Raw genomic sequence first — 14,317 nt, 5'->3', positions numbered from 1 at the left:
TATCAATCAAATTATGTGCAACCTTTAAGGTAATGAACTCACTGGACCATCTTAACACTGCCTGAGATGAAGATGGCATCAGATTAAAAGCTAAACTCTTACCTATGAAGAATTTGTAACTGGCTGAATTAACTGTAAACCAGCTAATCTGGTGTGTCATAGGAAATAATAGTCAAGGTTGATATGATGATCCAGTGCATGTCTCCACCAAGAATGACCACAATACTTGAAAGTCAAGATTTTGTTTATATTTCCCTTGGGAAGGTCAGATGTTTATTAGGTTAAATGAAAGTGCAAACTTTGAGCTATAGGAAAATGCAGATTGAACTGGAATCTTTGTTAGGAAAGAAAGGTACATTATAGAATATGCATTGGCAACAATGTCTTTAATGCAAGGGAAGCAATAATTCCCCTTGACAATGGAATGTCAAGGACATCTCAATTCATGATTTTGATTGTTGTGCCTCTATATTGCAAACCTTTGGTGTGGTCTCTATCCAGGACACAGAAGAGACTATCTTTTTAAACTCCAAGCTCTATTCCACATTGGAGTTTCCATGCCCTCAGAGAAATGAGAAGAGTCTCCTGGAGCTCTGCCTTCCTCCTAGTTTAGAAAGTCCAGGCTCTTGCTGTTGATTTTCCTTTCAGGTTTGGTGTTTTTTATTTTTTGGTTGAAATTTCTTCCTTTCTTTGTAAATGTGAGCTCCTCAAGGAAAGAAACCATTGTTGACACAGTTTTATGCACACCACAGTCACACATGCTTGTAGATAAAATGAGAAAAACAAGGTTCATATTTAGAAAACATTAAACTATGTGTTTATCACCCTCTCCTGCATAAATCATGTTTCTCAGCAGCCAGCCAGTCATCATGGTGGGAGGAAAGGATGGAGTAGAAATGGCATATGGGAAAATCCCTTTTAAATAGAAACTGGAAGTAGAAATTCCACCCTCCATGAGTAGGAGAAAGGGAGAGTAAAACAGGTAAAAGAAGCAGATGGTGAGAGGCCTGTTCCGAACACCCTTTCCAGGCAGGGAAGAATTGTAGATAGGCTAAGAGGAAACTAAAGGCAGGGGGCTTCTGCTCTGCATCCTATTCAGGGCTCACAGCTCACACAGCAAACATGGAGAGACCAGGATAGAGTCCAGGTTACCCACAGGCAGGGAGCCTGAATGAGCATTCCCGACTGAGCTCAGCTGCTGTGTGCAGCGAAGACACTCCCGCGGCCAAATGAAGGAGTCAAACTTTATTTTCTGGGCCATCAGGCCTTGAAGGAATTGTTCCTGTGCCTGTCAGCCTTGACCTCTGGCAGGGACCAGAAGGACAGTAGCCCACACTGACTACCCTCTATGGCCATTCCAGGAGCCCTATGGCCAGAGATTAAGCCCTACCTCCTGGGAAGACTTTAATCCACCTCAGCTGGCCACGAGGTAGATGACTTGTATCAAAGTACAGCAATCACTCTGCTGGGAAGAGAAACAGAAACATTGTACTCCAACACATACAAATCCTCTTGATTGACCCCCCCAAAAAAATTAAATGTCCAACTTACCATCCCTCCACCACTGCTGCAGGAATCGATTTTGCTCCCCAAATATTTATGACTTGTGGAATATAATGTAACTGCTCTGCTCAAGCAGGGTTCTGAGAGACTCGTGCCATGTTTCGTCTCAAAACCTGTTACCAGAAGAGGAGGATATTCTGTCAGAAACAGGGAGGGGGATAAAATTTACACCATCTTCTTTCTAGCCACTGACGCTTCTTAAGATTCATGGCCACTGTGTGTGTGCATTTCATCCAAGCATCTGGCCCTCCATTCCACAAATGCTAAGCAAGCATTCCCTCTGTGCCAGGGCTTGTGCTCACTCACAAGATGCAGACCCCTCCAGGAGCTAACGACCTGGAGTGGGTCAAATGGTGGGTCCTAAAAAAGATTCACCTATGTCATAAGCCCCAGAGCCCTGGATATTATCTTATATGGCAAAAGATATAATTAAATCAAGGATCTTAAGAGAAGGCACTTATTTTGGATTACCTAGGCTGGCCCTACATGTAATCACTGGCATCCTTATAAGAGAGACACACAGAGGAGAAGACACAGAAGAGATGGAGGCAGTGTGGCTACTGAGACAGAAATTGCAGTGAAGTGCCACAAGACAAGGAACATCTGGAGCCACCAAAAGCTGTTGGGGGCAAGGAACGATTCACCCCTAGAGCCTTCAGGGAAGTGTGGCCCTGCTGATTACCTTAATTCAGCCTCCAGAACTGGGACAGGATAATCTTTTGTGGTTTTAAATCATCCAGTCTGTGGGAATTCATTACAGGAGTCAGAGGAAACTAATCCAACACTAATAAGGGAAATGTCCCAGTTGGCCTTTCTGAGGGCAGCCAGGGGACAAGGGCAGGAGTTCCTTCTCAGGCCTCTTTCTGGGAAAGAACCCAGAAGTCCCTCCTGAAGGTAGATGTAGAGGAGTTTAAGACCAATCCTAGTGGGTCAGATTAATCTTCTATAACAATACAAGACTTTGGAGGAAAAAGAACCCTCTCCAAGTCCTTGCTACTGAGAGAACAGTCGGTCTTGAACACCATGTATACCCTTTGCCCAAATGGCCACCAGTCTGTGTCTTTTTATGTCATGGAAGCTCAGGTGGAGGAAGCCAGTATCTCTCTGTGTGGATAGGTAGTCTTCAGTATAGCTCTAGGTGAGTCTCCCACAAAGTTATCCCAAGTCACACTACCTACCTCTGGGAGGGCAGCTGGCTCAGATGGGGTGGGGGCTGGGCAGCTGGCTACATCACAGGCCAGTGCTGGGGAGAAGAATGGAGCACTTTAGGTCAGGCTTCAACCTCCTGAAGGGGGGTGGCCCTCTCCCTGGAGTCCAGTTGAAGACTGTATCTGTCTAATTTTGTTTGGGCTTTGCTGATGGATAGACACAAAGGTATTTAAGCCAACCAATGTGAGATCCCCACACTGATGGAGTAGAAGATTTCAGGATTGTGCATAATGTTCAGGAGGTAACATGTTACACCTGAAGGACCAGGACCACCACATTGCACAAGCTATGTCACATGTGACTTTTATCCATTCTTTTTTTTTTCTCACAACATCATATTCTCTGTGAATGGAAACTCCCAAAGTTTTGCAAGGTGAACGATCTGTCATGGACAAGCCAACATATCAAGGACAGCCAAGGCAGCTTTCTAAGCTGATGGAAATCACAGAATGATCTCTTAATGCAGGAGAGGATGCAAGGAAGGGCCACAAAGAGTGATAGAAGCAAGGAGCCCTGAGGATGGCTTCTGGTCAGCTGAAAGGGCAGGGAAAGATTCTTGGGAACAGGAGAACCTGGGCTGGGCTTGAAAACAGTACCACTTGAGAGAGGTGCTGCGGGATGCTGGGGTTAACCCTTTCATTTCTCTCTACGTTTCACCTAGTGCTGTTTACAACTCATCCATGATTTTTTTTTTTTCTTGGAGACAGAGTCTCACTCTGTCACCAGGCTGGAGTGCAGTGGCATGATCTCAGCTCACTGCAACCTCTGCTTCCCAGGTTCAAGTGATTCCACTGCCTCAGCTTCCCAAATAGCTGGGACTACAGGCGCATGCCACCACAGCCGGCTATTTCTTTTTTGTATTTTTAGTAGAGACTGAGTTTCACCACGTTGGCCAGGATGGTCTCAATCTTTTGAACTCGTGATCTGCCCGCCTTGGCCTCCCAAAGTGCTGGGATTACAGGCGTGAGCCACCATGCCCGGACCATGATTTTTAAATAATGCAATCCCTACTATACTCACCCAAGATCATGCTGTGTAAAGTTGCCCGTGTGAGGTGTAGCTCAATTGTAAATCAATCCGTGTGCCTGGGAGGATCTGCACTTAGGATTTGGATTTGGGGGTACATGTTGGAAGGCTGTGTGCTTTGTGGGCCCACGATGTGTTGATATGCCAGGTGTGTGTCCTCTGGCTCACAGTCCCGGGATCTCTCCTCGTACCTCATTTTAGCTGCTGCAGAGCCGTCTGCATACCGCTTTGAGGTGCCCCCTGGGACTCCCACGGATTTCACAGAGGCCGCGCAGCCTGTACTTAGAGGCAATCCATCCCAAACAGACTATCTAAGCTTTGTGAAAATCAAGCCAACTGCTTTTTATGTTTCACGAGAACAGATAAGCACAGGGAAACTTGGCTCCATTTATGTAAATTCTGGTTCAATTTCTGTCTGAGCATCAGGAGGCCCCCAAGGAATAAGGGAATTTCTACCACCAGGAGAGGGGTTTATCCAAGGCCACCAGAGACAGCATGTGGTCAGCTTGGAAAACTAAATCTGCTCTCTCATGGACCCACCTTAATGGACAAGGGAAGGAAAGGGTGGAGAGGAGAATGAACTGCCAGGTCACGGACACAAGTATTAGGAGGCAGAACACAGAAGGTGTGAGAAATGGGTCAGGGCAAACCGTTTAGAACTAAAGCTGTGAACACAGAGAACCTGAAAAAAGATGCCATATGGTTCAATAAAAATGCCTGAAATGCCTAATAAAAAATGTGTGAGTCTCAAATTATATATATATATCTGACTTAGGATACTTATTGACAATTAACATCACCCACTTTTACTTTGTGTTGCATCAGATGGCTTTTGCTCTTTTTTAGACCCTAATATTTTATTTAGAAAATTTTAATCCTGAAGAAAATAAACAAGTGCTAAATAAATAAAACACTGAATCTTTTTAGACATATTGAAATACTAGATTCTCTGTTGAAAAGAATACAAATGCTCCTCAGCTTTTGATGGAGTTACAGCTTGATAAGTCCACTGTAAGTTGAAAATATCTTAAGCCAAAAATGCATTTAATACACCTAATCTACTGAACATCATAGCTTCACCTAGCCTACCTTAGACATGCACATAGCACTTACATTATCCTACAACTGGGCAAAAATCATCCAACACAAAGCCTATCTTATAATAAAGTGTTTAATATTCCATGTAATTTATTGAATACTGTTCTGAAAGTGAAGAACAGAATGGTTGTATGAGTACGCAAAGTATGGTTTCCACTGAATGTGTATTGCTTTCATACCATTGTAAAGTCAAAAAGTCCTAAGTCAAACTGCAGTATGTTGGGGACTATCCGTCTATCCAAATATCAAGGCTATCAAGTCTTTAGGGATATAAGCGGCATAAGAAAGAATTGTGTCTGTTCCTCTGAGGGGATGCAGGAGGTTGGGGAGGTTAGGGGAGGTGGGAGTGCATGGTCAGGGCAGAAAGACGGGGCAGAGGATCAGAACCCCCAGTAACGTGCTTGGCCCTTCTGTGTGTGTGAGGCAATGACAAGGACGTAGTAAGTGGATTCAGAGAGAACCAGTGCTATGGTTGATTACAAACACTAAAGAGATGAGAAAGCTGAGGGACAAGGGCTAAACACAAATGTGACTCTGTGTTATCCTAATTTTGAGGGTGGGACAAGGTTAAGAAAATGTCCAGCTTCATAGTATTCATCAGGATGCTGGTAAAAAGTATTCTCAAATCAGTTTGTCCCATACAGCAAATGTATTGGCTCACGTAGCTGGAACAAGCAGGGGTTTGCACCACACCACCCTACACCACACACAGGACAAAGCCAGAATGTTTGATCTTGCGTTCTTTTCTCCTGCCTTCTGTAGCAGTGGAGAAGCCTCTGCCATGGATGCAGGCGGAGATCAGAAGGCCCATCTCAGGAGGGCCTGATAAGCCTGGGCATCAAGGAATGAGGAACAGAGAACCCAGGAATATTGCGCATCCAGACCAGACAGTTTAGCCACAAATATCCTGCTGCCAGAGGACAGGTGACTTTTATTTATTTTTACTTTTATCTTTATTTGTTTTCCGAGACAGAGTCTTGCTCTGTCTCCCAGGCCAGAGTGCAGTGGTGCGAACTCACCTCACTGCAACCCCTGCCTCCCAGGTTCAAGCAATTCTCCCGCCTCAGCCTCCTGAATAGCTGGGATTACAGGCACCCACCACCATGCCTGGCTAATTTTTGTATTTTTAGTAGAGACAGGGTTTCACTGCGTTGGCCAGGCTGGTCTCGAGCTCCTGACCTCGTGATCCACCTGTTTCAGCCTCCCAAAGTGCTGTAATTACAGGCGTGAACCACGGCACCCAGCCCAGGTCACCTTTAGGAACCACTTGCTGAGGGGATGGGCAGAGTCCTTTTGACCAGTGCTCCAGCCATGGGACAAACACTGCTGGGCTCAATGAACCTTTTGGAAGCCCAAGGGAGTATTTAAACCCCTCTAGACCCCTAAATCTAGCTCTGTGTTAGAAAGATATAGAAGTGGCTAGGACCCCTAACCTGTGTTTTCCTCCCGTGGCCCACCACTTCCAAAGGCTTCTGAGAAAGAGGGGCAGAGGAGCTGCTCTAGCCAAATTCACACTGTGTACCACTCTAAGGTTTTGGTCCAAAGCCCCTCTGTGGCCAGCTCCAGGGAGCAGGAGGATTCCTTTCGCAGGACCTAAAGACAGATCTAAGAAGAGCTCAGCTCCAGCAGCTCCATAGCCCTTCTTCCCTCAGCTCTTGACCCATTGTTTTACCTTGAGGGCCTTCTTACTTTCCCATCAGCCCACAGCCAATGGCCTAAGCCAGGTACTCCAGGTCTCCCTGCATGGCTGACACTTGAGTTGGTTTCTCCCTTGCTTTCCACAGGGAAGCAAGGGGAGATGTGTCTTCCCAGGCAGAAGGGACTGTGGGCTTCTGTTACCCCACTAGGCAAGCTATAAAACAGTGTTCAAGGAAGGTAGTTTCAAAGGATGACACTGCAGGTCAGGGAAGGCCAGAGAACAATGCCTCGTGCAAACCAGACCCCTGAAAGCCTGTGCCATCACAAAAGCTCCACTTCCTGGTACCTATACCTTTGCCATCCTCCTCTGGGTAAAGTGGTAGAGTGAGGGTCCTCACTGGCCTCGCCTCTGACCCTTTAAACTTTGCCTTCCTACCCACCCCACTGCCTGCTCTGGTCTCAGGGAATGGATGGTCACTGTATAGCCACTCACATCTCCCCCAGTGACCAGCAGGAGAGTCTCTCTTTCTCTCCCTTGTCTCTCTCCTTCTCTCTTTTCTGCTAAAAAGGAGTCTTGTATAATATAATGTTACCATGGGAGTTATATCCCATCACATTTGCTATATAATGTAATTTTGTCAAGGGAAGACATCCCATTGTCAGCTTGGGCGGGTATAACAAAGTACCACAGACAGGGCAGCTTAAACAGCAGGAATTTATTTCCCACCATTCTGGAGGCTAGAAGTCCAAGATCAACATGTTGGCAAGGTTATTTTCTCCTGAGGCCCCCTCTCCGTGGCTTGCAGATAGCCACCTTCCTGCCATGTCCCCACATGGCCTTTTCTCTGTGCACACACATTGCAGGCGTTTCTTCCTCTTACAGAGATACTAGTTATATTGGATTAGGGCCTCACCCTTATGTCTTGATTTAACCTTAATTACCTCTTTAAAGGCCCTATCGGCCAGGTGCAGTGACTCACGCCTGTAATCCCAGCACTTTGGGAGGCCAAGGCGGGCAGATCACCTGAGGTCAGGAGTTCAAGATTAGCCTGACCAATGTCATGAAACCTCACCTGTACTTAAGAAAAAATACAAAAATTAGCCGGGCGTAGTGGCAGGTGCCCATAATCTCAGCTACTTGGGAGGCTGAGGCAGGAGAATCGTTTGAACCCAGGAGGTGGAGGTTGCAGTGAGTTGAGATCGCTCCGTTGCACTACAGCCTGGGCAACAGGAGCAAAACTCTGTCTTAAAAATATATATAAATAAAAAATAAAAGCCCTATCTCCAAATATAGTCATATTGGGGGTTAGAGTTTGAGCATATGAATTTCAGGGGGACATAATTCAATCTCCAATAGTCACTTCTCCAGGCCTTTCCCGATTGCCTCATTCCCATCTTGCCCACCCCGCCCCCACAACCTTTCCATTCTGGCCAGGAAATAATGCAGGAATCAGGTGTCTGAGTCTCTGAGTATGCCTGCCCACTCACTCCCAGCACCCAGCCACATGTGTGCTGGAGACCACACATCCTTCTGTGTCTCTTCCCTTGAGGGCATTTCCACTAGAAGCCTGCGGCTTTGCAAAGCCAGGATTTTGTTTCTCTCTTCCATTTAATTAAGGAATGAGGCAGAAGGGCGCTTTCTCAAGTTTAATGACTGTTCTTAGTTAGCACCATCCAGCAAATGACTTCTTAAATTGAAGACCAAAAACACTCAATTTTCTGGATGTTTACTGTCATGTCTACAGCAACACAGCTGCCACTGAGCATGTGATTCCCAAGGCTCATGCTGAGATGGGAGGAGACGCCAGTCTCCTGGTGCCGAGACCTCCAAACAAAAACAACAACTGCCTGTCAGTCTCTGGGGCTGGCAAAACCATAGCCATTAGCCCAGGCACTCCTGCTCGCATTCCAGGGCAGCCTGATCCTCCAGACACCAGGCACAGCTGCCTGTTAGGAAAGGCAGGAGAAAGACATCTGATCCATGAGCAGAGAAAACACTCACCTCCTTCCAGTAAAAAGGCTGTCTGGAAATGCTGTCTGGCCTGAGAAGAGATAAAATGTTTCCCTGCAGGAGAAACGGTGCATTCAAAACACAGAAGTCAGTGTTTCTTCTTAGCAGGAGGCTCTGAATAGAGAAGGAAGGCTGGGTTCAGGAGTTAAATTGTACCTACATGGAAAACCCAGGCCTTTTTTCTGGATTTCTGTATGGCTGATGGGAGAAACAGAAGAAGGTGTCCTAGTGTCTCTGCTGGTGGAGTGGTGACCCATACCACCTCCTCTCTGTGGCATGGAGCAAGAGCATTCTCTAGCAAATTAGGATGGTCAGGAACCCCAGAATGCCTGAGCTGCAGCTACAGCTGTGGGGCAGTACCATCCATAGGGTGTTCTGAGGACCCTGACAGTACTTTAGCCTCAAGTTGATTGGAGCCACCTCCTGCACAGTGGGCTCCAAGGGCATGACTGAGACGAGGGCTCACATCCCAGGAAAAGCACATCAGTGCCACACGGGCCTTGTACCCACAGCAAAGACCAGTGTACCTGCTCTCAGCCCAACATCTACTCCCCAGTTATTCCTCTGCCCAGAATCCTTCTGCAGCTTTGCTTGTGTGGCTGTCATAGCTATAGGTGACAGAGGCCCATTCACATCTACTTTAGGTACCACATTTTCTTCCACTGAAGTTCTCAACAACCAGGATGCTATAGCCCTTACGGGCCTGTGGGACTTACCACATGTTGTTCCCTCTGCCTGGAAGTCTCCCCTTACCTCCTCACGCCCCATTGCTAATAGGTCAACTCCTGCTTTGGGAACCCAATGTTTCAGGAACTTACTAGGAGCCCTTGAAGACAAATACTGTGTCTTACATATCTACTCCCCTACATAGGGTGTCACACTGTGTACCAGGTGCTGCTGGCTTAGTCATCATTTGTTAAACGAATGAATATCAATGTATTAGTTTGCAATTGCTGTGATAATAAATTACTACAACTTGAGCAACTTAAAACAACACACATTTATTATCTCACAGTTTTTTGTGGTTCCGGAGCCTGGGCACAGCTTAGATGGCTCCTCTGCTTGAGGTTCCCCAAGACTGCAATCAAGGTATCAGCTAGGCAGTGTTCCTTTCTGGACCTGGGGTTCTCTAGCACGCTCATGTAGTTGTGCAGAATTCAATTCTTTGTGGTTGTAGAACTGAGGGCCTTCTAGAAGCCACTCCATTTTCCTGCTATGTTAGGAAATTAACATTATAGCAGCTTGCATCTTCCTTCACGACCAGCAGGAGAGTCTCTGTCCCTCTCTTGTCTGCTACGAAGGAGTCTTAAGTAATATAACATTACCATGAGAGTTATATCCCATCACCTTTGCTACACAATGTAATTTAATCAAGGGGAGGGCATCCCATTGCCATGTTCTACTGGTTAGAAGTAAGTCACGGGTTCTGCCTGTACCCAGGGAAAGGGAAATATACAAGGGCATGACTCACTGGGGCCACCTTAGGGTGGTCTGCCACAGTCAGCAACTCAAAATGAGAAACAATAAAAAAGAAAAAGCTAACATTTACTGAGCTCTTGTATATGCCAAGCTCTGTTCTAAACTCTCTGCAAGCATTATCTTATGAATGAATGAAGTGAAGAACCTGATGAAGGAAGTAGAGAGAGAACCTGGATATCCTATCTGGATACCATGATGTAGGAGAGAACAGCGGAAGGAGTTAAAAAGCAATAGCTGCCCTCCTCAACAAAATATTCCCTCTCCCCCCACCAGTCACGGTGACTCAGCTTCAAATCAACTAACCACAAATGTTTTCAAATCAGTTCTTGTCCTGTGAACAAGCCTCATGCCGTGACCCCAGGTCCTTTCTGCATGACACAGACCCTCTAAATTCCATGTGCTGGCCTGTCTGCCTGTCTGCTAAGCAGATGTATACTACCCAAGCCAGGCCCTACAGCCCCTTTCTCTGCAGTTGTGGACACTGCAGGCCACTCCCTTGTTGCTTCTCTGTCCCCCAATCCTAGTTCCTTCCATGTCTGTCTCCTCCTTTCTGGTTGATCACCTTTGGCCAGTTCTTAACTCTTGCTCTTGTCCAAAGATCTGTTTCCAGTCCAGCAGTCTTCTCATCCTTAACACCTCCCAGACCCTCCTTCCTACCCACTGTGAACATGACTGACCCTATGGCTTCAATCTTCACTGCCTGCCAATGACCCCGAGGACTGTCTTTCACCCCCAGCCTCCTCACAAATCTTCAGGCCCACAGATCCAATCACCATATGGGATATCCCACAGGCTTCCCAGCTCAACATGGGAAATTGAATTCATTGACTTTTCCCCAAATCTGCTCCTCGTACATCTTCTTCCCTGTTACCAAACAGAACTCCTTGGCCTCTTTCTCACTCTGAAATTCTCCTCTCGACACCATCAAATACATTCCACCTCGTCCTGCTGATTCTGCCTGTGGAACATTTCTCAATGCTTCTCCCCGTCTCTGCTCCACACTACCCTTCATGACCTGTCCTAATCTACCTCCTCAGTGGCATGTTTTGTCACCTCCATCCATCTTCCTGGAACCCTGCCCTCCAGCTACACTGAAACACTTCCAATTTTCTGAAGGAACCATTTTTCTTCTCCCGTCTAGCACTTTACCCTAAACGTTCTTTCCACCTGGTACATCTCCCTTCATGCACTCTTCTTTGACTGGCTAACTCATACTTGTCTTTCAGGACTCTGCTTAGATGCAACCTCATCCAGGAAGCCTTCCTGGACTTCTCCATGCAGATTGCACTGCTGTCTTTGGGGCTCCCAACTCCCCGTGCTATCTCTACCAGTTCGCATCACACAGTTCTGCCATCCTCTGTTCACTCACCTGATCTGTGAATTCCTCGAAGGCAAGATCCTGTGTCCCCAGGTCCTGGCTCATGGTGAACAGTGACAAATGTGGGCTGTCAATGGTAACAAACAAATCACCTGCCACCCACCTGCACCTCCAGCTGTCACCTGTCCATTTTGCCTGCACAGCCACCCCCATAAGATTTGTCTTAAGACTGTGCCCTGCTATTTCTGGCCCAGAACTTGAGGCTATGACCCTACTTGTCTCAGTCCATTTCAAAGATATTGATTTCACTTGGCTCCAAGGGTGGTGGGCCTGGAGAGTGTTCTGTAAGAGGCTAAATAAACACAGCTCACCTCCCCTGCCCCTACCAAGACACACACACTGTGGCTGCCTGTCTGCAGCATTCACGTGACAGTTTGCTCCCAGAGAATACTTGGAAGCGAATACTAACAAGAATTCACCTACTCTATTCTTTGGCTCAGTCTGAACCTCCAAACTTCTCTGGCTTCCTCTACCTCAGCTGAGTATAGCTGATGGTCCAGCCCCTTGCTGGGTACTGCAGGGAACTTAGCAAGAATAAAGTCAAAAAACGAAGTGTAAATGGGTAAAACTATTTGCATTTTTATCACTCAATAAGCTAATTTGTTAATATAAAATAATACCCCAGAAATCAGGAAGAAAAAAGACCAAAACAAACTGCAAAAAGTCAGGAAAAAGGGTAAGGTCTAGGAACATTTTAGAGGAAATGGCTCTTGAACATTTAAAATGGTGTTCAGCCTCATTTATATTTTTTAATGCAAAATGAAACTTATAATGCCGTATCTCACTTATTGAATTGACAAAGATCACAAAGTTTGATCACACATTGTGCTGATTAGAGTGTGAGGAACAGGAACTCTTGGGCACTACAGGGAGAAGTAGAAATCGGCACACTAGTAATGGAGAGCAGATCAACCATATGTATCGAAACTGGAAATGCTGACAGCTCTTCCTCTTCTAGAAATCTATCCCACCGGTATACATGCACACAGCAACATAATGCAGCCAAATCATTTGTTGCAGCATTGTTTTGGTAGCAGAAGCTCGGACAACTTATATATCCATCAATAGCAGATTGGGCTAAATAAATTATGGTATATACACGCAAGGGAATGTATGCAACTGCGAAAACAATGCAAGAACTCTTTATGTGCCGATGTTGAAAGTTATCCAGGCCGGGTGCGACGGCTCATGCCTGTAATCCCTGAACTTTGGGAGGCCGAGGTGGGCAGATCACAAGGTCAGGAGATCAAGACCATCCTGGCTAACACGGTGAAACCCCGTCTCTACTGAAAAATGCAAAAAAAAAAAAAATTAGCCGGGCGTGGTGGCGGGCGACTGTAGTCCCAGCTACTTGGGAGGCTGAGGCAGGAGAATGGCATGAACCCGGGAGGTGGAGCTTGCAGTGAGTGAGACTCCGTCTCAAAAAAAAAAGAAAGTTATCCAGATATATGTTTTATGTATGTGTGTATATGTATATAAATGTGTGTGCTTGTGTGTGTAGATACACATATATACACACACATTTATTATATCATGCATAAAATATCTGTGGGAGACAGGCATGGGGGAGAATTTTTCTCTCACTTCCTTCCTCAGTTTCTTGCTTACATATTTGTCCCATTCTGCTCACCCAACCCATGATTCCACTTCTCTAGCTGAGGCTTTCTCCTCTGGGGTAGGAGTCTTTGACATCCACTGGTTATAAAGATGTTTAGTGGGGAGGGCAAACAGCATGAAATCAGGGTTAGTTGCCTTGGCGCTGCTGTAACCTTAAATGTTAATGTTTCACAGGGCTCCATCCACTGCTTCTGCTTCTCTCATTTCATACATCAACTTCGGAGGCTCCCCTTCACCTGCGCGGCTCCAACTGTCCATCATCACTGAATATACCCAGTACTCCTCTCCAGCCTAGGCTTCTCTCTAAGCAAAATCCTAAGAGTGTATATTCCTGGACACCCTCACATCTGCTTAACAGAATCTCCTCTCCCAACCTGGAACCTGCAGAATATGGATCAGGGAGCCCAGATCAAAGACTGAGCACTATCAGACACATCCTTCCTCTAACACCATGTCCTATCCCACACCAAATCTTCCAGCTTTGACCTCACTCATGCTCTCAAATATGTCTGTCAGCTCCAATCCAACCCCTGCCTCCTGTTTTCTGACCTGGACCACCCTAATAGTTTCTTAATAGTTCTTCCTGCCTCCGAGGCCCTCCTTTTTTTCAAGCCACCCTCCACATTGCTGACAGACAGAGTTTTCTAAGATTCAAAGTTAACTAAGTGAAACCCCCTGCATAAGTTCTTTCAGTGGTTCCCCATATTATTATTTTTTAAAATTTTACTTCAAGTTCTGGGAGACGTGCAGAACATGCAGGCTTGTTACACAGGTATACATGTGCCATGGTGGTTTGCTGCAACTATCAACCCATCATCTAGGTTTTAAGCCCTGCATGCATTAGGTATTTGTCCTAATGCTCTCCCTCCCCTTGCCCCCTCTCCCCCAACAGGTTCTGGTGTGTGATGTTCCCCTCCCTGTGTCCATATTCTTTAAACTACAGTGTATTAGTTTATTCTTGAACTGCTATAAATAAAAACCTGAGACAAGGTAATTTACAAAGAACAGAAGTTTAATTGGCTTGTGGTTCTGCAGGCTGTACAGGAGGCATAGTGGCTTCTGCATCTGGGGAGGCCTCAGGAAGCTTCCAATCATGGAAGAAGGCAAAAGGGGAGCAGCATCTCACATAGTGGGAGCAAGGGCAAGACAGTGAGAGGGGAAGTGCTACACACTTTTAAACAATCAGATTTCATGAGAACTCACTCACTATTGAGAGGACAGTACCAAGAGGGGGTTAAACCATTCATAAAAAAACCACCCCGGTGATCCAATCAGCTCCCACCAGGCCCCACCTCCAA

At 46.2% G+C, this 14,317-nt stretch overlaps 1 annotated feature.

The window, feature by feature from the left end:
• Positions 10,178-10,472: an enhancer, noted in NCBI's record as "tiled region #1318; HepG2 Activating non-DNase unmatched - State 22:ReprW, and K562 Activating non-DNase unmatched - State 22:ReprW". NCBI's record gives its function as "activates a minimal TATA promoter and a strong SV40 promoter by Sharpr-MPRA in HepG2 and K562 cells {active_cell/tissue: HepG2 | K562}" and the evidence as "EXISTENCE:reporter gene assay evidence [ECO:0000049][PMID:27701403]".

This window comes from Homo sapiens, chromosome 3, assembly GCF_000001405.40.
Source record: "Homo sapiens chromosome 3, GRCh38.p14 Primary Assembly".
NCBI lineage: Eukaryota > Metazoa > Chordata > Mammalia > Primates > Hominidae > Homo > Homo sapiens.
Note: the sequence above shows the minus strand (reverse complement) of the source record. Positions and strands in the feature narration are given on the sequence as shown.